Source organism: Homo sapiens, chromosome 17 (assembly GCF_000001405.40).
Source record: "Homo sapiens chromosome 17, GRCh38.p14 Primary Assembly".
NCBI lineage: Eukaryota > Metazoa > Chordata > Mammalia > Primates > Hominidae > Homo > Homo sapiens.
In genome coordinates, this window is record NC_000017.11 from 64,987,919 (window position 1) to 65,015,070 (window position 27,152).

General features: G+C 45.1%; 1 protein-coding gene and 1 long non-coding RNA gene across 3 annotated transcripts in view; both read right to left on the reverse strand.

Moving 5' to 3' along the window:
- Positions 1 to 8,166: 8,166 nt before the first annotated feature.
- LOC124904044 (uncharacterized) lies at positions 8,167 to 10,131 on the reverse strand. The gene is made up of 2 exons (XR_007065877.1): positions 8,407 to 10,131; positions 8,167 to 8,320 (listed from the first exon to the last, which is right to left on the reverse strand). It is a non-coding gene; the product is annotated as an uncharacterized LOC124904044 (long non-coding RNA).
- An 11,239-nt stretch (positions 10,132 to 21,370) lies between these two features.
- GNA13 (G protein subunit alpha 13) overlaps positions 21,371 to 27,152 on the reverse strand; it is a 47,452-nt gene continuing 41,670 nt past the window's right edge. For both annotated transcript variants that reach the window (NM_006572.6, NM_001282425.2), the window contains exon 4: positions 21,371 to 26,911. In NM_006572.6, the coding sequence (NP_006563.2) occupies positions 26,339 to 26,911 (573 nt within the window). In that variant the 3' untranslated portion in view covers positions 21,371 to 26,338. The remainder of the gene's footprint in view (positions 26,912 to 27,152) is intronic.

A 27,152-nucleotide genomic window follows, 5' to 3' on the forward strand; every position in this document is an offset into this window, starting at 1 on the left:
CACACTGTCGCCCAGGCTGGAGTAGAGTGGCACGATCTTGGCTCACTGCAACCTCCACCTCCCGGCTTCAAGCGATTCTCTCGCCTCAGCTTCCCAAGTAGCTGAGGTTACAGGCGCCCACCACCACGCCCAGCTAATTTTTTGTATTTTTAGTAGGGACGAGGTTTCACTACATTGGCCAAGCTGGTCTCAAACTCCTGACCTCGTGATCCACCTGCCTCAGCCTCCCAAAGTGTTGGGATTACAGGCGTGAGCCACTGTGCCTGGCCAAGATTACTCTTATATTTTGAATAATAATTGTATTTCCATTCTGGGGAAAAGAGTAATATTTTGGAAACCAGGCGCAGTGGCTCACGCCTGTAATCCCAGCACTTTAGGAGGCCGAGGCGGATGGATCATCTGAGGTCAGGAGTTCGAGACCACCCTGGCCAACATAGCAAAACCGTGTCTCTACTAAAAATACAAAAATCAGCCAGGCATGGTGGCGGGCACCTATAATCCCAGCTACTCGGGAGTCTGAGGCAGGATAATTTCTTGAACCTGGGAGGTGGAGGTTGTAGTGAGCCGAGATTGTGCCACTGCATTCCAGCCTGGTGGACCGAGTGAGACCCTATCTCAAAAAAAAAAAAAAAAAGTATGATTTTGGGCTAAGTCTTGGAGGGGTAGGGACGGCCAGTCCAGGGCAGCCCAGGCTGAGGGCACAGCATGTACCAAAAACACAAAGCCACAGCAGAGCAGGGCCATGCGTGGCACACGCTGCTCCTGGCACCTGATAGCACCAGTGTTCTGTCCTCCTGGAAACTCTCCTCTTGCATTTCTGGGTCACTGTTCTCTCCAGGCTGCCCAGTCAGCCAAGCAGGCACCTGGGCACAGAGGGGCCCTGAGGGATTGAGGCTGTCCCGGGTAGGGGCTCCGTAAGGGGGAAGCCAACCTACTTTGCAGTGTTCCTGAGGCTCAGGCCCGTGTGCCACAGTGAGAGGGCGCGAACTCCACGGTCCGTGGACTTGGGTTCAGCTGAGGCACCACCAGCTCCTGGGTGGCACTCGGCCAAGGCACTTTACCTCCCTGGGACTCAGTGTGTTTATCCAGGGGTATGAACAATAAGAACCTCTGGCCCACAGGCTTAATGAGAGAATTAAATAAGACATGGGAACAGCTCCTTTCAACTAACTGTTTATTACCAGAAGGTGCCCAATAACCAGGCATGGCAAAAGCCCAAAGGCAAAAACACAAAGCCCTGACATTTAACAGGTTCTTTTTTTGCTAAGAAACCAGCGCTGGAGACAAGTACTTGTGATATATCCTCGTGGCTGGACTTGTTGGTCACAAGTTCTAATTATGGAAATGCCCTCTGACAAAAGAGCCTGTTGATGTGAGTCACTATGGGTGGTTTAACTCTCTAGGCCTGGGCTGCTCCTAAGAATCATTTGCAGATACATCTATCTACCTAGCTATTTTTTTTTTTTTGAGACAGGGTCTCACTCTGTCACCCACTCTTCACTCTGTGAAGTGCAGTGGCACAATCAGGGCTCACTTTATCCTTGACCTCCTGGGCTCAAGCATTCTTTCCACCTCAGCCCTCTGAGCAGCTAAGACTATAGGTGTGTGCCACCATGCCGAGCTAATTTTTTTATTCTTGTTTTGAATTGTAGTATAGATGTCTCACTATATTATCCAGGCTGGCCTTGAATTCCTGAGCTCAAGCAGTCCTCCCACCTCGGCCTCCCAAAGTGCTGGGATTACAGGCATGAGCCACCGCACCCGGCCCATAAGATACATATGTTTTTTTTAAAATAATGCAGTGAGTTGTTTTGTTTTGGTTTTTGTGTTTTTTTAGAGACAAGGTGACATTCTGTTGCCCAGGCTGTGCTCTCACAGCTCACTGCCGCCTTGACCTCCTGGGTTCAGGCAATCCTTTCACCCCAGCCTCCACGTAGCTGGGACTACAGGCATATGCCACCACACCCTGGTTAATCTTAATTTTTTTTTTTAGAGATGGAGTCTTGCTATGTTGCCCAGTCTGGTCTTGAGTTCCTGGACTCCAGTGATCCACCCCCCTCAGCCTCCCAAAGTGCACCACCATGCCCAGTTAATTTTGTATTTTTAGTAGAGACAGGGTTTTTCCATGTGGTCAGGCTGGTCTCAAACTCCTGACCTCAGGTGATCTGCCTACCTTGGCCTCCCAAAGTGCTGGGATTACAAGTGTGAGCCACTGAGCCTGGTCGCTACTTGTTCTTATTGTGCATTTATATCCTGAAGAAATGGAATCTGCCATTTGCTGTAGCAGCGATCCAGAAAAACAAAGTGTAGTTGTTGGAATAAAACACAACTAACTGACATTGAGTGTCACCTGGGGGTGACCCAGCACAGCAAGAATGGATCAGCTTAAGCAGGTGTGGTGGCATGCACCTGTGGTCCCAGCTACTTAGGAGGCTGAAGTGGGAGGATCACCTGGCCCAGGAGAACGAGGCTGCGGTAAGCCAAGATCATGCCACTGCACTCCAGCCTGGGCAACAGAGCAAGATCCTGTCTCAAAAAAAAAAAAAAAGAATCAAAGAATGGATCAGCCTCATATCATCCAAGCTCATAGAGACAATGATGTAGAAAAACCCCAATGGCTTTGTATTGAATCGTCACCTTCAGAGGGCTGGGGACATAGGTTCATAGATAGTACCTTCACTCCCGGGAGGCACGGGAAGACAATTCCTTTTTGGTTTTTTTTTGAGACAGAGTTTCACTCTTGCCACCCAGGCTGGAGTGCAGTGGTGCAGTCTCAGCTCACTGCAACCTCTGCCTCCTGGGTTCAAGTGCTTCTCCTGCCTTAGCCTCCCAAGTAGCTAGCATTATAAGTGCCCATCACCACACCCAGTTAATTTCTGTATTTTTAGTAGAGACGGGGTTTCTCCATGTTGGCCAGGGTGGTCTCGAACTCCTGACCTCAGGTGATCCACCCACGTTGGCCTCCCGAAGTGCTGGGATTACAGGCATGAGCCACCACGCCCGGCCGGGAAGCCAATTTATAACAAGCTTTCTTGGTAAACATGGGTAATTAGTTGATGACCCTAATGGTCCCTACCCCTCAAAGTTTGGTGCATCCTCTTTCTCTCTCCCAGCCGTGTGAGGACACAACATGAAGTTGGTCATCTCAGGACCAGGAAGAGAGCCCTCCCCAGAACCCAACTATACTTGCACTTGACTTTGGACTTCCTAGCCTCTGCTGTGAGTGATGAATGCTTGTTGTGTAATCCACCCAGCCTATGATACTCTGTGGTAGCAGCCCAAGCTGACTAAGACACTTGGCAAGTGCATCTCCACAATAAGATCCAAGCCATCTCAGCCTGGAAGTTGATGCTTCCAGATGGCATTCAGGAGAATGACCAAAGTTTGTCTCTCTTTTTTTTGAGACAGAGTCTTGCTCTGGCTGGAGTGCAATGGTGCGATCTCAGCTCACTGCAACCTCCGCTCCCTGGGTTCAATAAATTTCTTGTGCCTCAGCCTCCCGAGTAGCTGGGATTACAGGCATGTGCCACCACACCCAGCTAATTTTTGTGTTTTTAGTAGAGATGGGGTTTCTCCATGTTGGCCAGGCTGGTCTCAAACTCCTGGCTTCAAGCGATCCACCCACCTCAGCCTCCCAAAGTGCTGGGATTATAGGCATGAACCACCACACCGAGCCCAAAGTTTTTCTCTTTGACCCTTCATTTTGTATTGTTGATCAATCTCCTCACCTTTTTTTTTTTTTTTGAGATAGGGTCTTGCTCTGTCACCCAGGCTCAAGTGCAGTGGCATGATCACAGCTTATTGTAGCCTCAAAGTCCCAAACTCAAGCAATCCTCCTGCTTTAGCCTCCTGAGTAGCTGGGACTACAGACGTAGGCCACCACACCCAGATAATTTTTATTTTTTTGTAGAGATGGGGTCTCATTATGTTGCCCAGGCTGCTCTCATACTCCTGGGCTCAAGTGATCCTCCAACCTTGGCCTCTCAAAGCACTGGGATTATAGGCGTGAGACATCACGCCCGGCCCTAACCCCCTTTCTGATTGACATGTTCTTAAGGTACCTTACAAGAGGTTAGAAGTGTTTTTATAAATATACCTTTTTTTTTTTTTTTTTTACAAACTTCAGTTGTAACCAAATCTTGCTAAAGAACTCATTCTGATCTCTTAAGGTAACTTTACATTTCTTTACATTAGAACTTTATATTTCTTCTAATCCATATGCATTGGTTTTACAGTTTTACCGTTTTGTAATTGCCAAAACAATACAGGATTCTCAGTCACATCGGAATTTCAGATGAACAATGAGTAATTTTTTAGTATAAGCATGTCCCATAAATTTCATGGGATATATTTACATTAAAAGTGATTGGTTGTTCATTTGAAATTCTAGTTAACTAAGCACCCTGTATTTTTATTTGTAAAACCTGGCCACCCACTCTCCAAGGGAAATACTAGTTCCCTATTTCCAAATTGGTGGAGGTGGTGGTGACCTCATGATTGCTCATATAACCTATCCACAGTTTCAAGAAGGAAAGAAAGGTAATTCTGTATGCCAAAAAGACACAAACCACACAAATAGCAAATATGTCCCCATGCAAGGCACAGTGCTGGATGACTCATGGAGAGTGATGTCTGGTCAAACACAAGCCCTCGGGCACGATGGCTCATGCCTGTTATCCCAGCACTTTGGGAGGCTGAGGCAGGTGGATCACGTGAGCCCAGGAATTTGAGACCAACCTGGACAACATGGGAGAAACCCCTCTCTACTAAAAAAAATACAAGAAAACTAGCCAAGCATAGTGGCACATTCCTCAGGGCGGGAGGCTGAGGTGGGAGGATCACTTGAGCCCAGGAGCCAGGAGATCCAGGCTGCAGTGAGCCATGGTCACACCACTGCACTCCAGCCTGGACGACAAAGTGAGACCCAGTCTCAAAAAAAAATTAAAATTAAAAAATAATAAAACAAAAATGTAAAAAAAATACATATATATGTTGCTCTACAGATTAGATGCATTCAGAGAAATTTACCTGAAAATCAATTTCTGAAAAGTAAATTTATTTCCCTAGTTTTCAACAAAAAATAAGCATACTAGGCTTTCAACCTCAATCTGCCAATTTATCATTTGGTCCTTGGCAAGTGTATAAACTAAAAACTTCATTGAGACTCAGCTTTCTCATCTGTCAAACATAGCCCAAATGGCTACCTTTCCCTCCAGCCAATGCCAGAGGAAGTGCTTGGTGAGGAAGGGGTAAGGAGCATGACAGGCCCTCCAAGATGGCCCCATGGCGTCTGTGATCTCCCTGTTCCCTTCTCAATAAAATGAATGTAGATCAAGCAACTCCTAGGTGTGAGCCATTCTGAAAGGGGCTGTGGGATAGAACACATCCCTGCATCCCTTGAAGAGTTAGACTCCACCTGGAAAGATAGGACATGTGTAGTCATCTGTTACAGTGGTAGCCCCCAGTGAAATGCACCTCTTAGTATTCATGCCCTCTATAGATCACTCAACTGAATCTGGGCTGCCTGAAACAATAGAATGTGACAGAGGTGATACTGTGCCAGCTGTGCCAAGGGGCACACGTGGAGGGGCTCACTTCAGGGTGCTGGATGAAGAACAGGGCAGGAGGCCAGACACAGTAGCTCACGCCTGTAATCCCAGCACTGTGGGAGGCCGAGGCGGGTGGATCACCTGGGGTCAGGAGTTTGAGACCAGCCTGGCCAACATCTCTATTAAAAATACAAAAATTAGCCACGCATGGTGGTGGGCACCCATAATCCCAGCTACTCGGGAGGCTGAGGCAGGAGAACCCCTTGAACCCAGGAGGTGGAGGTTGCAGTGAGCCGAGGTCGCACCACTGCACTCCAGCCTGGACAACAAGAGTGAGACTCCATCCCAAAAAACAAAACAAAACAAAACAAAAAAACAGGACAGGGACAGATGCTGGGCTTTGAAGACTGCACAAGCTCTAGGGCTACGCCTTAGGAAATCTTGGTGGATTCCACATTTGTAGTCCTGGGAACCCTGAGCCACCAGGTAACAAGCCTTACCTTCCTGTTGGAGAGGCCACATGGAGAGTGAGAGGCCCTGAGACTATATGGAGGAGAATGAGAAGCTCAGCCAGACATGTGCACATGTTCAAGCTGACCCAGCCACCCTCCGGACTCCGGAGCTACAACAGCCGGGACCCCTGACATGGGGGTGATGAAGCCACATCTTCAACTCATTCTTGGGTGTGCAAGATGCAAGTTAACATGGAACTCATTCTTGGGTATGCAAAAGATCAGGAATGTTTAAGCAAAGCAAATGATGTCTAGGTGAAGGTGATGCTCCCCAGACAGGGAACAGCACCCAGTATCCCCTGTTTAAATTCCAGACCCACAGATTTGTGGGCAAATAGCATTTTGGTTGTTTTTATGGTACCTCGCTTTTGGGTAGTCTGTTATGTAGCCATAGGTAATAAAATGTCAAACTCTCAGGAAAAGTAAAATGTCCCTCAAAATGTTAGGAATCTGTGCCTTCCAGCCAGACAAGTTTCTCAGGGTCGAAAGCAAGGACATGCCCAGTTCTAACACAGGCAGGAACACTTCCTGTTGGGGACTGAGCAGGAACTCCCTGTGAGTGCCCCAGGTTTCTGGATCCTGGGGGGGTGTGGGGACAGGCACCTGGGCTGAGGGGCTCGCCTGTGTCTGTTCAGCCACGGCTGTGCTTCCCCAGAGACGAAACATCATGGGGGGCTGCGTTTGAGGTGGGGGTGTCAGTGCCACGGAATCAGGGCTACCTCTACTGTGCAGAGCACCGTGACGTCCCCTACCTTCCAGGCAACAGCAAAAACCAAAAGAGACAGGCGGTAGCAAAAAGGGAGGGTGGAGTGGAGGGAGAGAGGGATAGAGGCCAAAAAACACCCCATGAGACAGCAAGGGAGCTGCCAAGCCTTCATTTAACCCAGGACAGAAGCAGGACTCGCCACCCGGCCACGGAGGCCAGAGGGCTGCAGAAGGGCACACATGCGGAGGGGCTGACTTCAGGGCACTGGATGGAGTACAGGGCAGGGACAGACGCTGGGCATTGAAGACAGCACAAGCTCTGACGGGGCCAGGAGGGGCCAGGATACTACACACACAGGGCCAGCAGGCCAGCACACGCGGAAGCAGCAGTGCAGGTGTCCCGCTGTGGATGTAGGCTGCTTGGGGCAGTGGTGGGTCGCTGTAGCGGGCAGGAGGAGCAGGTGGAAATGTGAATGCCAGGCCAAGGCAGCATATGGGCCAGGCTGATTGAAGGCTGGGCCTATGCCTGGTTCATCTTGGGCTCCCCAGCCCCTAGCACATAAAAATAGATGCTCAATAAATGCTTGCCAACAGATGGACTTTGCTTCTAGGTCACTGGGAAACACTGAAGCTAACTCCACAGGGGTGACCCAAATGAAAGCAGTGAAAGGAATGCTGGAGTGGCCAGAGTGGCTGGCTGGAGAAGGCCCATGAGGCTTCCGCAGCCTCCCGAGGAGGGGAGGCAAGGGCAGGGCTGAGGAAGGGACAGAAGGATGGAGACAGCCTCGTCCTCAGGAAGCATTTTGCCGATGGTCAGTCAGGGTAGGAGTGGATCCCAGGGGCCTGGGCTATGGTCCAGTCTCGCCATGAAATCACCATGTGACCCCAGCAAGTCACTCCCTATCTCTAGGGCTCAGCTCCATCTCTGTGCATCAGAGGAGTCAGATGAGAAGTTTCCCTTTTGGTCAGACTGTGATGCTGAGATTTGGTGACTGATGTAAGGCGTAGGTGGGGTGGCGTCAGGAAAGGGAAGGAGCACCAAGGGTCAAAGATAGTTCTGGGGAAGATGGTGGAGAAAATGATGTGGCTGTGGGAAGAAATAGGAAGTCTCAGGATGGGGAGCTGAGCTCGGGCAGGAAAGATGATGCGTGGGCAGCTAGGGGAGCTTGGTGGAGACGAGGGCCCAACTCCACAGCAAACGGGCAGTGGAGGCAAAAAGGACAGCCGGCTTGAACATGCCTCCTGCAGCTGGGTGTGATAGGTGAAAATGTCTCCCTCCCCAAAATATATCCACACCCTGATCCCCAGAACCTGTGAATACAAGGGTCTTTGCAGATGTGATTAAGTAAGGGTCTTGACATGGAAGCAGATTATCCTGGATTACATGGATGGGCCCTAAATACAGTTGTTTTCTTTTTATTTTGTAGAGACGGGGTCTTACTATGTTGCCCAGCATAATCTTCAATTCCTGGCCCAAGTGATCCTCCCACCTCTGCCTCCCAAAGCACTGGGATTACAGGTGTGAGCCACTGCATCTGGCCAATGCAGGTATCTCTGTAAGAGGGAGACAGAGGGACATTAGACACACCGAGGAGAAGGCCGTGTGAAGATGGAGCAGAGAGAGATTTGAAGATGCTGACCTTGAAGACTGGAGCGATGCAGCCACGAGCCAAGGAATGCGGCTGGCCACCAGAAGCTGGAAGAGACCAGGAACAGATTCTCCCCTGGAGCCCGCAGCCAGTGCACAGCTGAGCAGTATGGAGTTTAGACTTCTGGCCTCTAGAACTGTGAGAGAGTAGATTTCTGTTGTGTTAAGCTACCAAGGATTGTGGTAATGCCAGCAGTCACTGGAAGTGCATACACTGGCCATCCCACAAATCCCAGGCTCTGAACTCACAGCCAGGTCCCTACCCGGGCTCCTGGTTAAGTGCTTTGCATGTGTTGCCTCTTACTCCTCCAATAAGCTGGTGGGGAGGACCTATTAATATCCCCACTTCCCAGAGGAGGAAAACCAGGTGTCGAGAGGTCAGATCATCTTCCCGAGGTCACGGAGCAGGTCTGTGACAAAGGCTGATTCTTGCTGAGATGGGTGTGACACCAGTGGGAACACTTCACCATTCTGCCACTCTGTCCCCAGCTATGAACATAGATTCCTAAAAATGTTATTATGTACACAAGTGTTCGAGTTCTGGTAAAGGAATTAGGGCCTCCCTCTCTCGGTGCCCGAAGCCATAGAAGTTATTATGTATAACAACAGCAGTTCAAAATCCCAACTCAGCCACGGGGTGATGGCAGGTTAGCTTGTGCTCCTCCCTCCTAACCCTGCTGTGCCACAGGGCAGCAAACTGGGACCCTAAGAAGTGGCGGCTTGCTCCAAGTCTTAAGGCTGGTCCCCTGATGTGAGAGCCAGAATCAGAAGCCAGTTCAGAATTTCCCCACCCAGCACACAGAGTACATTTTAGGGGTAAATTAGGCAGCTGAAATGTGAAAAGAAATGGGGACTTGGTCACATGATCCTTGCTATTGAAGACAGTCCCAAGACCACTGTCCAGAATTAAACTCTAAAATCAAATGTATTTTCCAAACACATGCATGATGCCTGCCCTCCACCAGAGGTGGGAGGTGGCCAGGCAAGCCAGACTGGGTGCCACCTAGGTCACTGGAGATCAGGGGAGGACACTTGACCAGAATAGGTCCACTGGCTGATGGGTGGCCCATGAGGACTTCCTCCGATGGGGCAAAGTATTGAATCCATCAGACTGGCTCCCTGCAGTGGGCTGGACAATTTGTAGAGGACTGGACAACAGAGAAAGAGACAAAGGGTTAAGGGGCAGAAGGGAAGACCCTGTCGCCAGAGCAGCCTTGCATCCTGGCAGCTTTCCCTCCTCACTCTTCATCTTGAAGGAAGCCTCCCTGGGTTCTCCATTCTAACTACTTTAGAGTCAGCCTCTCGCATAACTCTTAAGGCACAAAACAGAGTCAAATGTACACAGTAGGCAGGTCTTCTCCCAGTCCTTTTGCTTGGCATCTTTGCGTTCAGATTCCTGCAGTTTTGACTCCTTTGTGAAGTGATACACTTACGAATGCCTTACTGAATTAATTTTGCTGCCTGTCACTCTAGCAAATCCACTTCGGGCCAGTCGGATTTGCCAGGGTTTGTTCTCCTCCTTACGGGTCCAGGAGGGCTCCCGGGCGAGCCAGCTTCAGGCGGAGACCACAGCACGTCTCCCTTTTCATACTCCAAAAGCCAAAAGAAGATGGGCTTGGGGTGAGGCAATCTGGGACCCCATTTTCTTTCTATTAATCTTGCCTGAATTTACGTGTTGAAAAATGAACGTTAAGGCCGGGCACAGTGGCTCATGCTGTAATCCCAGCACTTTGGGAGGCCAAGGTGGGCGGATCACTTGAGGCCAGGAGTTCAAGACCTGCCTGGCCAGCATGGCGAAATTTCATCTCTCCTAAAAAAATACAAAAATGAGCTGGGCATGGTGGCGGGCACCTGTAATCCCAGCTACTCGGGAGGCTGAAGCTTGGACCTGGGAGGCGGAGGTTGCAGTGAGCCAAGATCACACCACTGCACTCCAGACTGGGCAACAGAGTGAGACTCTGTCCCCCCACCCCAAAAAAAGAGAAAAGTAAAGAATGTTAAAACACTCACCACTGAGGGATGTTTACTATATGCCTGAACACAATGCTAACTTTAAAAAACAGCTATTGCTCTTTGGCTCGAGTCACAGACGGAAGAAGAAAAAAAATTAAAATACACGGCTATTGTGTGTTTTCCTATAGTAAAAATAGAGGAGAGCTGAATTCTGTTGGGCATGGAGTTAATAATAATTTACACCTGTGATGCTCAGCCAACCACACAGTTGGGGTGCTTGTGAATTTTACTTACAGATCCTATTAATATAAGGCTGAACTTCTCCATTTCCACCCTCCCACTTCAACCACCATCAACACGACTCCTCTCTCAGGGGACTTTTAGCTCCACTATCACTGCAGGGTGGCAAAGGTGATGCTACAGCCCAACAATTTCACACATTTGTTTCCAGTTTATTTTATTTTATTATTTTTTTTTGAGACAGAGTGTCTCCCTTCACCCAGGCTGGAGTGCAGTGGCTCCATCCTGGCTCACTGCAACCTCCGCCTCCCGAGTTCAAGCGATTCTCCTGCCTCAGCCTCCTGAGTAGCCGGGATTACAGGTGCAAACCAGCATGCCCGGCTAATTTTTGTATTTTTTTTTTTTTTTAGTAGAAACGGGGTTTCACCATATTAGCCAAGCTGGTCTTGAACTCCCAACTTCAGTTGATCCACCCGCCTCGGCCTCCCAAAGTGTCATGTGTGAGTCACCATGCCCAGCCTGGTTTCCAGTTTCTTTGGGGGAAAATTGCCAAGGCAAAACCCAAATGAAACGAAGAGGATGATAGAGAAAGAGGAAAGAAGGAAGGCAAAGCAAAGGGAGTGAAGAAGTAGATAAAAATAAAAATAGCTGCCCCTCAGCCTGGGCAACATAGGAAGACCCCCACTCTAAGAAAATTTTAAAAAATTAACCAGATGTTGTCACAAGCACCTGTAGTCCTAACTCCTCGGGAGGCTGAGACTGGAAGATTATTTGAGCCCAGGAGGCTGCAGTGAGCTATGACTGCACCAGTGTACACCAGCCTGGGCAACAGAGTGAGACCCTGTCTCTAGGAAAAAGAAAAAACAGCTACCCCCAATTCCTATCCCATGCCTGGCACTGCAGCACTTTCTGCATTTGATGTTAAACTGAACCTGCCGCATAGGTGTTATAGGTAAGGCAAGCGACACGCAGAGGGGCTGGCATTTGCCTAAGGCCACACAGCTCAGGAAACACAGAAGCCTGGATTTGAATCCAAGTCCATCTTATGTTAAAGCCCATGTTCTTGCTTACTGATCACAGAAGCACCCTACTCTCATTCCTTAAAGAATCTTACAAAACGAAAGAAAAAAGCAGCACAGCAATTCTCTAGAAAATCCATTAGCGGGCACGGTGGCTCATGCCTGTAATCCCAGCACTTCGGGTGGCTGAGGCTGGTGGATCACCTGAGGTCAGGAGTTCGAGACCAGCCTGGCCAACATGGCAAAACCCCATCTCTACTAAAAATAGAGAAATTACCAGCCTGGCCAACACGGCAAAACCCCGTCTCTACTAAAAATAGAGGAATTACCAGCCTGGCCAACATGGTCCAGTCTGGCCAACATAATGAAACTTCATCTCTACTAAAAATACAAAAATTAGCTGGGCGTGGTGGCACACGCCTGTAATCCCAGCTACTCAGGAGGCCAAGGCAGGAGAACCGCTTGAACCCGGGAGGCGGAAGCTGCAGTGAGCTGAGATTGCGCCACTGCACTCCAGCCTGGGTGACAGAGCGAGACTCCATCTCAAAACAAACAAAAATTTAGCTGGGCATGGTGGTGGGCACCTGTAATCCCAGCTACTTGGGAGGCCAAGGCAGGAGAATCACTTGAACCCGAGAGGCAGAGGTTGCAGTGAGCTGAGATCATGCCACTGCACTGCAGCCTGGGCAACAAGAGTGAAACTCCATCTCAAAAAAAAGAAAAAAAGAAAAGAAAATCCATTAGTTAGAGTTGAAAGCTTGAGTGAGAAAATGTAGTGAGTTATGTCTTATGCTGGAATAGCAGTTTGGATCTCTTGTATTGTTGAGCAAAAAGGCCATTAAAGAAATGGAGCACAGTAAGGCTGGCAAGAAAGCGCTGCCCCGCAGGGCTTCATTATAATGAGGCCACGAGGGGCTTCTGGCTGAGATGAAAGATCTTGATGTCATGGATCCAGCATAACTCAGTCCTTCTTGCCTTCTGGTGTGGACCCTACTCAAGCCCAGGCTTTGAAACTGATTATGTTTACAACATTTCCCCAATGAGGGTATGATCTCTTTATTCTTTCTGACTTTTTATGATGAGAAGTTTCAAACATACACAAAATTTGAAAGAAGAGAATCAGGAACACCTAAGAACAGAATAATGGACAATTAATATCTTACCACTTGCTTTATTTCTCTGTCTCTGTCTCTCTCTCTTCCTCGATTTCCTCCTTGGCTTCCTTGATACCCCTCCCTCCGAGAGCACACGCCTTTCTGATGCTCCTACTTGGACAGTTCTCTGTCCTCCTCTTGAAGCCAAGGTTTCCTGCTAGCCCACTTCTCTCCTGACTCTAGGCAGTCAGTCCCCTAGGACAGGGGTCCCCAACCTCTGGGCCACAGACCAGTATTGGTCCATGGTTTGTTAGGAACTGGGCCACACAAGCAGGAGGTGAGCAGTGGGTGAATGAGGGAAGCTTCCTCTGAATTTACAGGCGCTCCCCATTGCTCGCATTACCGTGAGCTCCGCCTCCTGTCAGATCAGCGGTGGCATTAGATTTTCATAGGAGCGCAAACCCTATTGTGAACTGTGCATTTGAGGAATCGAGATTGAGCACTCCATATTAGAATCTAATGCTCGATGATCCGTCACTGTCTCCCATCAACCCCAGATGGGACTATCTAGTTGCAGGAAAACAAACTCACTGCTCCCACTGATTCTACATTATGGTGAGTTGTATAATTATTTCATTATATATTACAGTGCAATAATAATAGAAATAAAGTGCACAATAAATGTAACATGCTTTAATCATCCCAAACCCACTATCCCCACTTGGTCCGTGGAAAAATTGTCTTCCACAAAACCGGTCCCTGGTGCCAAAAAGGTTGGGGACCACTGCCCTAGAACCATCTCCCTACAACCCACAGCTTCAGCCACTGTGCTTGTAGCTTACATTCTGCACTTTTATCAATCAGACCTCTCCACTGAGCTTGAGACCTGTAGATCCAGCTGCAGTTAGATGCCCCAAAGGGACCTCAGACTCAGCATGTCCCTCAGAGCCTACCTGGCCCACCCAAGTCTGTTTCTTCCCCCAGACGTCCTATTTCAGGAATGGCTCCATCCAGTTGCTCCACCAGAAACCTGGGCAGCCTGCTGGGTTTCACCCTCTTCCCTCCACCTGCTGCTTCCAAGTGCTCTGTCCAGTTTTCTGCCTGAAGTATCCTTTTCATTCACCTCCTTCCAATTCCATTGCTAATGTATAAGCTCAGGTATCTTGCTTTTCCTGTACCTCAGCAGCCCTCACTTCAGTTCTTGCCTCCGGCCAGTTGTCACCCTCACTGGGATTACTGTAATACCGCTGAGGTCATGTCGTTCTGCCTCTTGTTTTTCTTTTTCTTTTTCTTTTTTTTTTTGAGATGGAGTCTTACTCTGTCACCTAGTCTGGAGTGTCGTGGTGCGAACTCAGCTCATTGCAACCACCTCCCAGGTTCAAACGATTCTCCTGCCTCAGCCTCCTTAGTAGCTGGGATTACAGGAGTGTGCCATGCCCGGCTAATTTTTTTTTTTTTTTTTGACAGAGTCTTGCTCTGATGCCCAGGCTGGAGTGCAGTGGCGTGATTTCAGCTCACTGCAACCTCCGCCTCTCAGGTTCAAGTGATTCTCTCACCCCAGCCTCCCAAGTAGCTGGGATTACAGGCATGCGCCACCATGCCTGGCTAATTTTTGTATTTTTAGTAGAGATGGGGTTTCACTGTGTTGGCCAGGCTGGTCTTGAACTCCTGACCTCAAGTGATCTGCCTGCCTTGGCCTCCCAAAGTGCTGGGATGACAGACGTGAGCCATTGCACTCGGCCCCATTCCACTTCTTATAATGCTTACTGGTTTTTCATGCCCATGGGATAAAAGCCAACGGTGTTGATCTGGCACGTGAGGACCTCCATGACATGTTCACTGCTCATTTACTCAGCTTTACCTCTTGCTACTCATCCACCACCTTTCTATCTTCCAACTGGTTAGGGTTCTTGCTGCTACCCAACTTGTAAGCCCCACACACCTCAGTGCCTTCGCACATGCGGTACCCTCTGTCTAGGACTCCCTTCCATACCTGTGTCTGACTCATCTTTTATCATAGTCTTTCATATTTTTGTTCCCCTTACTAAACAGTGAACTTTTGGGGGTGGGGATCAGGGAACTGTTTCTCCTCCTTACCCTCATCACCTTACAGAAGGCTATCAGTGAAAGGTGCTCGATCAAAGCTAGATAATGAAAGAACTCCCGGCTTTCTTACTGACACAATGTTCCACCATCTGGCATGCAGCCTTTCCTGCGTGTTAGGTCTAGGTAAATTTAAGACATCTTTAAAGCCCCAGCCCAAACACCTTCTCTTCCACAAAAGTATCCCTGCCAGGCTGGGCAACACAGTGAGACCCTGACTCTACAAAAAAAAAATAATAATAATAATTGGGCACAGTGGCACGCACCTGTGGTCCTAGCTACTTGGGAGGCTGAGGCAGGAACATCACTTGAGCCCAGGAGGTCAAGACTGCAGCGAATTGTGATCCTGCTTCTGCAATCCACCCTGGGTGACAGAGCGAGACTGTGCCTCAAAAAAAAAGAAGAAAAAAAAAAAAAGGCTGGGCACAGTGGCTCATGCTTGTAATCCTAACACTTTGTGGGGCTGAGGTGGGTGGATCTCCTAAGGTCAGGAGTTCAAGACCAGCCTGGCCAACATGGTGAAACCCTGTGTCTACTAAAAATACAAAAAATTAGCTGGGTGTGGTAGCGGGTGCCTGTAATCCCAGCTACTCGGGAGGCTGAGGCAGGAGAATCGTTTGAACCCAGGAGGCGGAGGTTGCAGTGAGCCAAGATTGCGCCACTGCACTCCAGCCTGGGTGACAGAGTGAAACTCCATCTCAAAAAAAAAAAAAAAAAAAAGAAAAAGAAAAAAGTGTCCCTGATTGCACGTAGATGGAAGGAATTGCCTTTCTCTGAAGGCTTGGAGCATTGTATCTAGTCCCCTCGAATGGCGTCTTGACTTAAGTACTTATGCACCTGTGTCTTCTCCCCTGCTGGACTGGAAGCATCTTAAATTCAACTCCATAAGTGGATCATTTTCTTATCACCCAAAGTGTCCAGCACACGGGTGACATAGTAGACATTTAACAAATTCAGTTAAATTCTACAAACATTTTTTGAGCACTTATATATACCCATCAAGCTACTAGACTGAGGATTCAGAGGCAAATGAGACAAATACAGTGATCTCTGACTTCCGGGAGCTTACAGTCTAATCTAGAAGTCAGACTGGAAGACAAATAGTTACACATGTGATGACCGAGATCAATGCAGTAGGTGAACTCTTGTAAAGCAAGCAAGGGGAGGTGTACTCTGTGCAGGGCAAATGCAGGGCTGATCTTCTGCCTCTAAATGTTTATTAAGTTTTTTCTTCATATAAAAGTGACCAATCCTCTTCGTAGAAAATTTGGAAAAGAGAAAAGTGTAAAGAGGACAAAATACTTTGTGATTCCCATCACTCAGAAAAGCTAACATTTTGCTATATTTACTTTTAATCTCTTTGCTAACTTTGTGGAGTGACTGAAGTCTCAAATTCTTTGAACAGCCTTATTGAGATATAATTCATATGCTATAAAACTGGAGAGCCAGTCTCCATACTGGCAGGGTGGCATTCTCTCCACTCCTCCACAGTCAGATTCTCATCACAATTTGATTGAGATTTGAATTAGATTGAGTCCGATGGGCACTCTAAGAGCTTAACAGGAGCATCTGTGTAACAATGTCGAGTTCACAGCACAGTGGAGTGGAGGAGCTAAGAATCTATGAACAATAATAGCTTCAAGATAAGGTACAGAGGTCAGGCGAGGTGGGTCATGCCTACAATCCCAGCACTTCGGGAGGCTGAGGTGGGCAGATTGTTTGAGCTCAGGAGTTAGAGACCAGCCTGGGTAATATAGTGAGACCTCATCTCTACCAAAAAAAAAAAAAAAAAAAAAAAATTAGCCAGATGTGGTGGTGCGTAACTGTGGTCCCAGCTACTTGAGAGGCTGAGGTGGGAGGATCACTTAAGCCTGGGAGGTCAAAGCAAAAGTGAGCTATGATTGTGTCACTGCACTCCAGCCTGGGTGGCAGAGTGAGACCCTATCTCAATAAATAATAGTAATAATAATAATAATAGTAATGTAGAGTGATTTAAGTGCCCTGAAAAAGCAATAACATGGGATAAGTACTCAGAGAAAGAACTGCTTCTAGCCCAGGATGCATAGCAATTGGGATGTCCTCCTTTGAACTGGGTCTTGAAGGATGAGTAGGATTTGCCGTGTGAACAACAGAACCAGAGAGAAGAGGTGTGGGGCAAAGAAGCCATCTAGTTTAGCTAGAGTGGAGGAAGCTGGAAGGGAAGGCCGGTTAGAAAAAGGTTGATGCAGCTGGGCATGGTGGCTCACCCCTGTAATCTCAGCACTGTGGGAGGCCGAGGTGGGCGGATCACAAGGTCAGGAGTTCGAGACCAGCCTGGCCAACATGGCGAAACCCTGTCTTTACTAAAAATACAAAAATTAGCCAGGCATGGTGGCGCGCGCCTGTAATCCCAGCTAGTGGGGAGGCTGGGGTGAGAGACTCGCCTGAACCCGGGAGGCGGAGATTGCAGTGAGCCAAGACCGAGCCACTGCACTCCAGCTTAGTGACAGAGCGAGACTCCGTCTCAAAAAAGAAAGAAAAAGGTTGATGCTGGGTCCTGAATGGTGTGGATGCCATGCAGGGAGTTGGAATACTCTTCTGTCTCACGCACTACAGAAAGGAATAATATCCGGTATTCCCGTGTTGGATTAACGCTTCTTATTTCCATTAAGTTGGGCATCCGGCTCTTCATCTAGAATATATTCCCCTTTTATAGCGATGTATGGCATCTTCCCCCAGACTATAACCTGCTACAAATGCAAGGATTGCCTGCAGAAAATTAGCCTTGATCTGTAATTTCATTAACAGAGCCAAGCTGTGGGTGCTGTGAGGTTCATTTTTCCTTTATTTCTTTCAAGATTGAGTCTTGCTCTGTCGCTCAGGCTGGAGTGCAGTGGCAATCTCAGCTCGCTGCAGCCTCTGCCTCCCAGGCTCAAGCGATTCTCCTGCCTCAGCTTCCCGAGTAGCTGGGACTACAGGCGTGTGCCACCACGCCTAGCTAATTTTTGTATTTTTAGTAGAGACGGGGTTTCACCATGTTGGCCAGGCTGGTCTCGAACTCCTGACCTCAGGTGATCCACCCGCCTCGGCCTCCCAAAGTGCTGGAATTACAGGTGTGAGCCACCAGCACCCAGGGAGGTTCATTGTTTTCAGAACAAAATTTCAACTAAGTCTGATGGTAAAATCAGCTAGTTAAATCCTACAAAGCTTACAAGAACTGGGGATTTTCCACGTAGAATAATGTGAAAGTAAAACGAAACAACTTTTTCTCCCCCCAAGGTCAGCAGTGCTTAGCCTTCAGTTCATCTTATGTTCTGTCTCCCCTTCAGCAGTTGGCAGGGGCAGAAAATCAAGCGTGTCTAAAGCGGCAGTCTAGGTCATTACGGAAGAATCATCGACTTTAAAAAAGACATGATAGCTTCTGTTTTCCTACCATGAACCTTCATGGGGAAAAGAAAAAGCAACATACTCCTCCACTCAGTATAAATGTTAATTCTGGACACAACTTCCCTCAGTATTCTTGTGGCAAACAGATAAGCTGAACACAGCCTCCTTGAATGGCTAATTTGTATCCCATACTTGTTTGAGCCTTTTGTTTTCTTGGTGTACTTCAAAGAAAAAGGAACACTGTGAAATATTCTTGCACAGCATTTTCGTGGATACCCCTTATGCCAACCACAATACCGTATTTCAGAGGCCCCACTAATTTCTGACGAAAAATTACATGTACTTTTATTTATTTACTTATTTATTTAGAGCCGGAGTCTCGCTCTGTTGCCCAGGCTGGAGTGCAGTGGCAAAATCTTGGCTCACTGCAACCTCCCCATCCCGGGTTAAAGTGATTCTCCTGCTTCAGCCTCCTGAGTTGCTGGGACTACAGGCACGTGCCACCACACCCGGCTAGTTTTTGTATTTTTAGTAGAGATAGGGTTTCACTGTGTTAGCCAGGCTGGTCTCGAATTCCTGACATCAGGTGATCCGCCAGCCTAGGCCTCCCAAAGTGCTGGGATTACAGGTGTGAGCCACCACTCCAGGCCTTTATTTTTATTTTAAATTTTTTTGAGATGGAGTTTCGCTTTGTCACCCAGGCTGGAGTGCAGTGGTGCGATCTTGGCTCATTGCAACCTCTGCTTCCCAGATACAAGCAATTCTCAGTACAGGCGCCCGCCACAGGTCTGGCTAATTTTTGTATTTTTAGTAGAGACGTGGTTTTACCATGTTGGCTAGGCTGGTCTTAAACTCCTGACCTCAAGTGATCCGCCCACCTTAGCCTCCCAAAGTGCTGGGATTACAGGCGGGAACCACCACGCCTGGCCTATAGCATGTATTTTAAAACACTGCCCTGGGCCATCTGCTTTTTGAGGATTTGCCAAATTTCCCAAGTCACCAAAACAGACCTCTAGTTTAACCTGTAAACCTTGAGTTTCCTATATTCTCAGGACCAAAAAGTCTCCCTTTTCGTTTTCAACAACCCACTCTGTGGGCAATGAAACAGGTCATTTTGGGAGAGCATCCTGTACTGACATGACATCCCACAGTGCCAATTAACCAGGATTGTGCCCACTTTGCTACACAATAGTTTGTATTGTTTCTTTTTACACAGATAAATATTCCCTTGTTCCAACAACAGCATAAAAAAGGTGTTTTTGTTTTTTAAATGACCTCTTGGTTTGTTTGGGGATTCAAATGCTCAAGTGAGTCTAGTTTCAATTTTTAAAGATCTTAAATCTCTCCCAGAAAGACCTGTTTCCAAAGTCACAGATTTTTAGATGTTAAGAGTTAGACTCAAAGTCCAAATTTTCTAACCCAGTTTCTCTTGAGATCAACAGTAACATTTCATGTTAGAGGTGAGAACCTGGAGAAGAATTTTTATTTGCCAGAGAGGTTGGAACCAGAGCAGCTAGGAGCACAGCCAGCCATTACCTCCAGCCATTTCCTCACACCTGCTTTGCAACACCAAGAGAAAGCCCTTCATTCTGTTTAGGGGAAGAACAGTACAAGCACAGCTTTATCTATCTGTCTGTCTATCTATTTACTTAGAGACAAGGTCTGGATCTATCACCCGGGCTGGAGTGCAGTGGCGCGATCTTGGCTCACTGCAACTTCCACGGCCTCCCGAGTAGCTGGGGGACTACAGGCCCATGCCACCATGCCCACCTAATTTTTGTAAAGACGGGATTTCACCATGTTGCCCAGGCTGGTTTCAAACTCGTGAGCTCAAGTGATCCGCCAGCCTTGGCCTCCCAAAGTGCTGGGATTACAAGCGTGAGCCACCACGCCCAGCCATAGCTTTCAATACATGCCAGGTAAGAAAAGGCATAAAGATGCCAAGTGATTTGACAACTGCTAACTTAGCAGGAAAGCGTAAAGGGAAAAGATGAGTAGTAACCACAGAAGGTGTGCTTGACACGATTTGATAATGATACTTTCTCTCTCTGGTTCCCAGACCCATAACCCAGTCTAATCATGTGAAAAACACCAAATTTCAACAGATGGGCATTCTACAAAATACCTGACCAGTACTCCTCAAAACTGCCAAAGTCCTCAAGCCTCTAATCCCAGCAATTTGGGAGACCGAAGCAGGCAAATCGCTTGAGCTCAGGAGTTCCAGACCAGCCTGGGCAACATGGCGAAACTCTGTCTCTACTAAAAATACAAAAAGTAGCTGGGTGTGGTGGCACGCACCTGTAATCCCAGCTACTTGGGTGGCTGAGGCAGGAGAATCACTTGAACCTGGGAGGTGGGGGTTGCAGTGAGCTGAGATCGGGCCACTGCACTCCAGCCTGGGTGACAAAGGAGTGAGACCCTGTCTCAAAAAGAAAAAACAAACAAAAAACACCTGCCAAAGTAATCAAAAACAAAGTCTGAGATAAACAGGAGTCTGTTAACTACCAAGAAGAGCTGAAGGAGACATGACGAGCGAATGTAATGTCGTGTGCTGGATGGATCCTGGAACACAAGTAAGGCATTAGGGGAAAACTAAGGAAACAAGAACAAAGCATGGGCTTTAGTGAATAATGTTATCAGTATTGGTTCATTAATTATGACAAATGTACCAAAGTAATGCAAGGCGGTAACTACGGGAACTATTATAAGGGGTGTGGAGTATAGGGGAACTCTGTACTGTCTTGAAATTTTTCTGTAAATCATAATCTAACATGAAGTTTATTTTTTTAAAAAAGATGAGTGGTCAATGTTGGTTTGTCTCCAAACATTAATTACAACAGACGTAACAGAATTATTAATATTGTCGCAGCTGGATGAACTGAGCTCAGGTACACCCTAATACAGTTTCAGTGGCCATAAGAGGAGCAGAGAAAACAAGTGGTTTCTCTTCCCCTATTCCCTTGTCAAAACATATTAAGTGTCTGAGAACTTCCTTGGAAGAAGTCCACATCTCCATTTCTAGTAAGAAGTTTCTAGACTAATATTCAAGCCAAGTGGCATTGGGATTCTGCTGAAGTAGATTTGTGCCTTAACTCAGGCCCTAGATGAAACTTTTGCTTTCAAACTTTTAGTATCTGCTTTACATTTTACAATTACCAAACTGTTAAATAACATCATAGTATTGAATTGTTTACAAATGTTTATTAAATGTCAGTAATTTTTACAAAGCAAATATTAATAGCAAGAGGCAAATGTTTTGCAAAATATGTACAAAAGTAAAAAGCTGTAATGAACTAGCAACTCATTTTATAAAATCAAACCATTCTTTCCACTTTTAGACCTCCTTTAGAAATAATTTATTGCCCATCCTGAACTAAAGCACTGACAAAAAAATTTACAACAATTATCAGATAATGTGCTTAGTTCCTGGAAAGTTATAAAAAGATATATGTAAAAAAAAAATCCTAAGCCACAAATATTTTATAGAGCTAATACGAGTCATGTTTTGTTAGGTACAGTATCTACGGGGTTATTACAAAATATACTTTTTTATAAGGCTTCTTGTGGTAAATGAGCTCTCACCAGAGTAGAGTAGTTTAGAAAAGCCATTTCAAACGTTTTGCGATTCTGCCTTCAAGTAAGAGGTAAAAGGTAAATGGCATAGTTTGTTGCACTGTTGCTTATACTGTGCAAGAATTAATCTCTACCCCTTTCTTTCCTAGTACCATCAAACAGGCATGATTAAGGACAATTTCTCACTTACTATGGCAAAAAATATTATATACAAGCTTTCTTAACACAAACCAAAGTCACATACCAAGTAGTATATGACGTTCAGTGATATTCACTGACTGAAATTTTATGCACACTGAGTTCCAGCATACTCTGATCCACCTGTAAACTTTCATCATCAACAGCAGATTTGTATATGTCACAAAACTCTCCTTATCAAGACATAAAATATTGCCATATCATTCATGCTTTCAAAACAATGTTCATATAAGCTCTCGCATTTGAAACCAGATGGTAAGACCTGAATGCTACAAGAGTGAACATAACTTAAATGCTAACTACACGTTCAAGTACAGACATAAGAATGCTAGTGGTACAAACACTGTACTCCAAATGATGTTGTTAATCACCTACCAGCCTAAGACTAGTATCTACTTGATGGAACTTGAAAAAGCCATAAAGTCCAACTTGTTTAAAATGTTCAGACTTAGACTTACACTTCAAGATCTAGTATACATTTATTAATAAGCCCTAACCTCGTACCATAAAAAAATGGGCATGTGCTGTATTTGGGACATGCGGACACACCCACACCCACCCACAATCTCTCCCCTCCTCATGTTTACTAGACTGAAAAGCCACCCTGTATCCTATCATTAAAAAACAAAACAAAACAAAACAAAACAGTGCTTTTAGTCAAGCAGCACAACACAAGGACAGATCATCTGTGATTAACAGAAGCGAACGCCTTAAAATGATGGGAGAGAGACAAATTAACTAGGTACTAAGTCAGATTTCCAAGTGAAAAAGACATGAGCAAAACTTCTGGTCTTAATTTCTCAAATAAAACTAAAATAAATGAAATGGTAACAGAGTGACTTTCTCTAAATTTATTAGGGAGTTTGTTACAAATGTTTGGGCTTTACAGGCATGATTTCACGGATTCAAACAAGAAATTAACACTGATATTTAGCCTTCTCATGACATACACAGAAATAACATTGCTACAAACTGCAATGGAGAGAATCTTGTTTCAAATGGCTTAGTTTGGGGTTTTGTCTAAATGTATCATTATATAATGAAAGCACCAATTTGAGGGTTTCTCAAATAGTGATTTGAATTTTAGGACATAACAGTGTAACATGGTAACTTTATTCTTCATATATAAATAAGGCATAATCGGATGTGTATTAATGCTGAAAATACATTTTATCAAAAGCATAAATACAAGTATTTGGGTACACATTGAAAGTTAGGACTTAACCAATTTCTTCTTACAAAAAATGATAAGGACATATGGTATTTGTTGAATCTAAATCAGCACTTCTAATCATTTCTGGTATTAAGGCGATCTTATTTCCTTCTACTTTAAACCAACCACTGCCACCAACTGAATAAGGATTTCCCTAAACAGCCTCAATTTGAGAGACTAACCAGAGGACCTTCTCTATGCAAATTACATGCCAATACACCTTAAAAGAAAATAAGACAAAAGTGAATGAGTTTTTTCATTCCATATTGCTTTCTTTGGTTGCAGAGCAATCCAGTGCCCTTTCCAGATAATAAAATTGAAATGAAGATTTCAATTTAATATTTGGCAGACAGCAACAATGCAGGTTATTAAAAATATTAAAGGGGCAGAGGCATGCTTTGAATTACTCAGATTTTCAGAAAACATTTGACAAAACCCTTTCTCTATAAAAGTTATGGTCTAAATTTATGTTGTTTTATAAGGCAACTGTATATACATTTCTTCAAGGTCAATGAAGACACTTGTGTGATATTTCCTCAGAATTAAATGAGAAGGCATTCAGATTTAAGAACAGAATGTAACACAGGATTAGGCACATTTTATTCCAAATCATAACCATAAAGATTTAGAAAATCAAATACATCAAAGAACTTTAAATCTAAATTACTTTTTTAGAGACTGGGGTAAGTTTGCATAGTGAAATTATGAGCACCTTTTCAATTCTGTTCACTAAATTTCATCTCTCTCTTCATATAGTGGTATTTCAAAAGGATTCAGTTTTCATGATACAGGTGTAAGACTCCTTTCAAACGTTTTTAAAATACAACGTATAAAAAAATGTGGACTGAAGCCTTTAGATTGAACTTAAAGTTCTACTGAATGTCAAAACAAGCCTAAGTTGAATATAAGTAATTCATTGCCTCAAAATATAGTCTAGATTTTAAAAGAATGTTGATTCTGAGACATTACATGCAGCAGGGAAGAAAACTGCAAATGCCCAAAATAACATGATATCTATTTGGTGTTTCAACACTTCTTGGTGGTAATTCAAAAGGGGGAAACTTGGTGATTTCTGCTTTGTCAGGCAATATCTATGGTTCGTATCACAGATCTTAACTATGACTTAAGTAAGATGAAGTGTCCTCTTTCTATAGGGATCTAACTTGAGCCCTCACTGGAGTCAAATGTTTTGGCCATTCAATTTGCTAAATGTATGGGTAAACTCTCCAATGAATAGTCCAAATGTTACTGTGCACATATTCCGATATTCATTAGCACTGCAATTATGCTAATTTTGTGAATTTAAACAATGTATTCTTTTTGGCAAGAAGCACTAGATGTAGAACTATTCAAACACGCATGAATGATACCATGATACCACGAACATGCACGATACCATGAACTTGCATCACGGTGCCGGGCTACGTATGTGTAGCTCATGGATTACCATGGCATGAAAATGCTAGAAGTTATATGGATACAATGATAGTGGAAGTTCAAATGTGAGAAAAGTCAGGTATGTCAAGAACAATCCCTGGTTAGTTCACTGAAAAGCCCCACTCTCGTATCAGACAGCAAGACAGAACAACAGCCACTGACTTGGAAAGGCTGGGTGATCCATAACGACCAATCTTTCAAGGACCAATAAAATACCTGAGTACACAGTCAGCTATACAGTAAAATGACAGATATCACAGTCTTAAAATTTTCAGGAAAAGTAGAAAAGCTGTCAGACTTTTCAAGCTGTCGCCAGCCTTGGACTTCTGTTTCTCTAATTGTAGCACTACATACAGCCTAGAAGATAGTATTTCAGTACTGCAAACCAGCCATTCTGATGAGTTCACTATGAATGTATCTGCGATCACAAAGCTACTTCGTGGACACATTTTAATTTGGTAAGCAGTCGGGGGAGGTCAATGTAATCATCTTTAGGTGCGAACTAAAAAAATTACTACTGATCCTTAGAAGCATCCTTAAAACATTTAAAATATACCTCAAAAAAGCTGGACTTTCAACAACAACAATTATACAAATGTATACATACTGTATCTGTTAGAGACACACCAAGAATGAACAGGAATCTCAAATAATGCCTTCTTGAATAGTCTTGACAGAAAAATACTGCCCTTAGCAAACTCCAAATAAACAAAACGATGCCACAAATGGCACAGTGTGGAGTTGATGGGACTGGACAGGACAGCAAAAGATAGATGTTTGTGATGATACAACAATGATTTCCTACAGTAAGGATTGGTCTTTACTGACCAACTGAGATAGGGCTTAAAAGTCAAATACATGACATTCTGGAACAGGTTAAGTTTATTTAGAAAGTTCTGTTACCAAGTTGCTTGCAGTTTTTAGTTGCTGCTATGGCCAGAATGTTTCACATATGGTACATTAAACTACATGATAATTAAATATGAGAAAGGCAAATTCTATTTCACTCGTTACGTTTGACCAAAACACGGTAAACAGCATTAGCTTGCCTTTTGCTCTCCCATACCACCTGTGAACTCTTCATCAGCATCAGACCAAAGATCCTTATGTAAACTTGAAAACAGGAAGAACATTACCTTCAGAAACACAGAAATCTAAAAGCAAAACAGCTGTTGTGTATACAAGCAATTAAAATATGAAGGCTAAACCTTCTATAAACCTACAGAATGCCATTTCTTAGATAGAACTTCTAACAGCCCTTACAAAATAGGAGGTCACCATAAAGTTAGGCAACAAGTGTCACTGCTATATGTAAGGCGGACAGAAGATATCTTGTTTTGGAACTGAATATTCCTAACCTCATCCCTACAAGTATTTAAGGACACCTTTGATACTTGGCACTGCAGGAGAATTCAGTTTGGAAAGTAGAATAATTTAAAGCCTGAAATATGCCTAGTCTGAGGTCAGCTGGGAGGTTTTAACTGGACTTGAATAGAAGCCATGGTGAAACAGATCAAAGCCTGCATTACAGCAAATCTTGGCGATGAGTCACTCAACAGCTTTCAGCCACAAACCAAAGGCCGCAGAAAAAGTACTAAGATTTTCAAGAAGTTAAACGTAGAATTAAGATTGTTCTAATTCTGGTTGTAAACTGCTATTTTAAAAAACAAAACAAACAGAAAACATCAAAAACACAAAAAGATATTAAAACAGCAAGTCTTTTGTACATCACTGTAGCATAAGCTGCTTGAGGTTGTCATGCAGAATAGTATCCTTCACGTCACGGAAAACAAGGCGGATGTTCTCCGTGTTGATAGCAGTGGTGAAGTGGTGGTATAAGGGCTTCTGTTGCTGGTCCCGGCGTTTGTTCCGGAAACATTCCACCAGGAATTTTTGGACGTCTCTTAAGCAGTGGGGATCCCCTTCAAATTCTAGGAAATAGTCTTTGATGCTCACAATTTGCACCTTCTCCTCAAGCAAGTCTGTCTTGTTTAAGAACAGAATTATGGAGACATTGCTGAAAACCCGGTTATTGACGATTGTTTCAAAAATGTTCAGAGACTCTGTAAGGCGATTGGTCAGTCGATCTTCCATAAGCACCTGGTCAAATTCACTTGAGGAAACAAGGAAAAGTATTGATGTCACACTGTCGAAACATTCAAACCAACGTTTCCTTTCTGATCTCTGACCACCTACATCAACCATTTTGAAAGGAACATTTTTTATTTCAAAGTCGTATTCATGGATGCCTTTGGTGGGTCTTCTGGCAAGCAGAATATCTTGTTGTGATGGAATATAATCCTGGAAAAGAAAAAACTTGTTTTATACCTATTAATCCCGAAGTAATGCGAATTTTTAATGGACTACTAACTGGACTAGTGAATAGATATGCAAACAAAATGATCTTTTAAGTGACATTTTCAGATAGATTATGCTTATTATAAAATGCCAAGACTGGTCAGACATGGTGGGTCATGCCTATAATCCCAGCACTTTGGGAGGCTGAGGCAGGAGGATCGCTTGCGAAGCCAGGAGTTTGAGA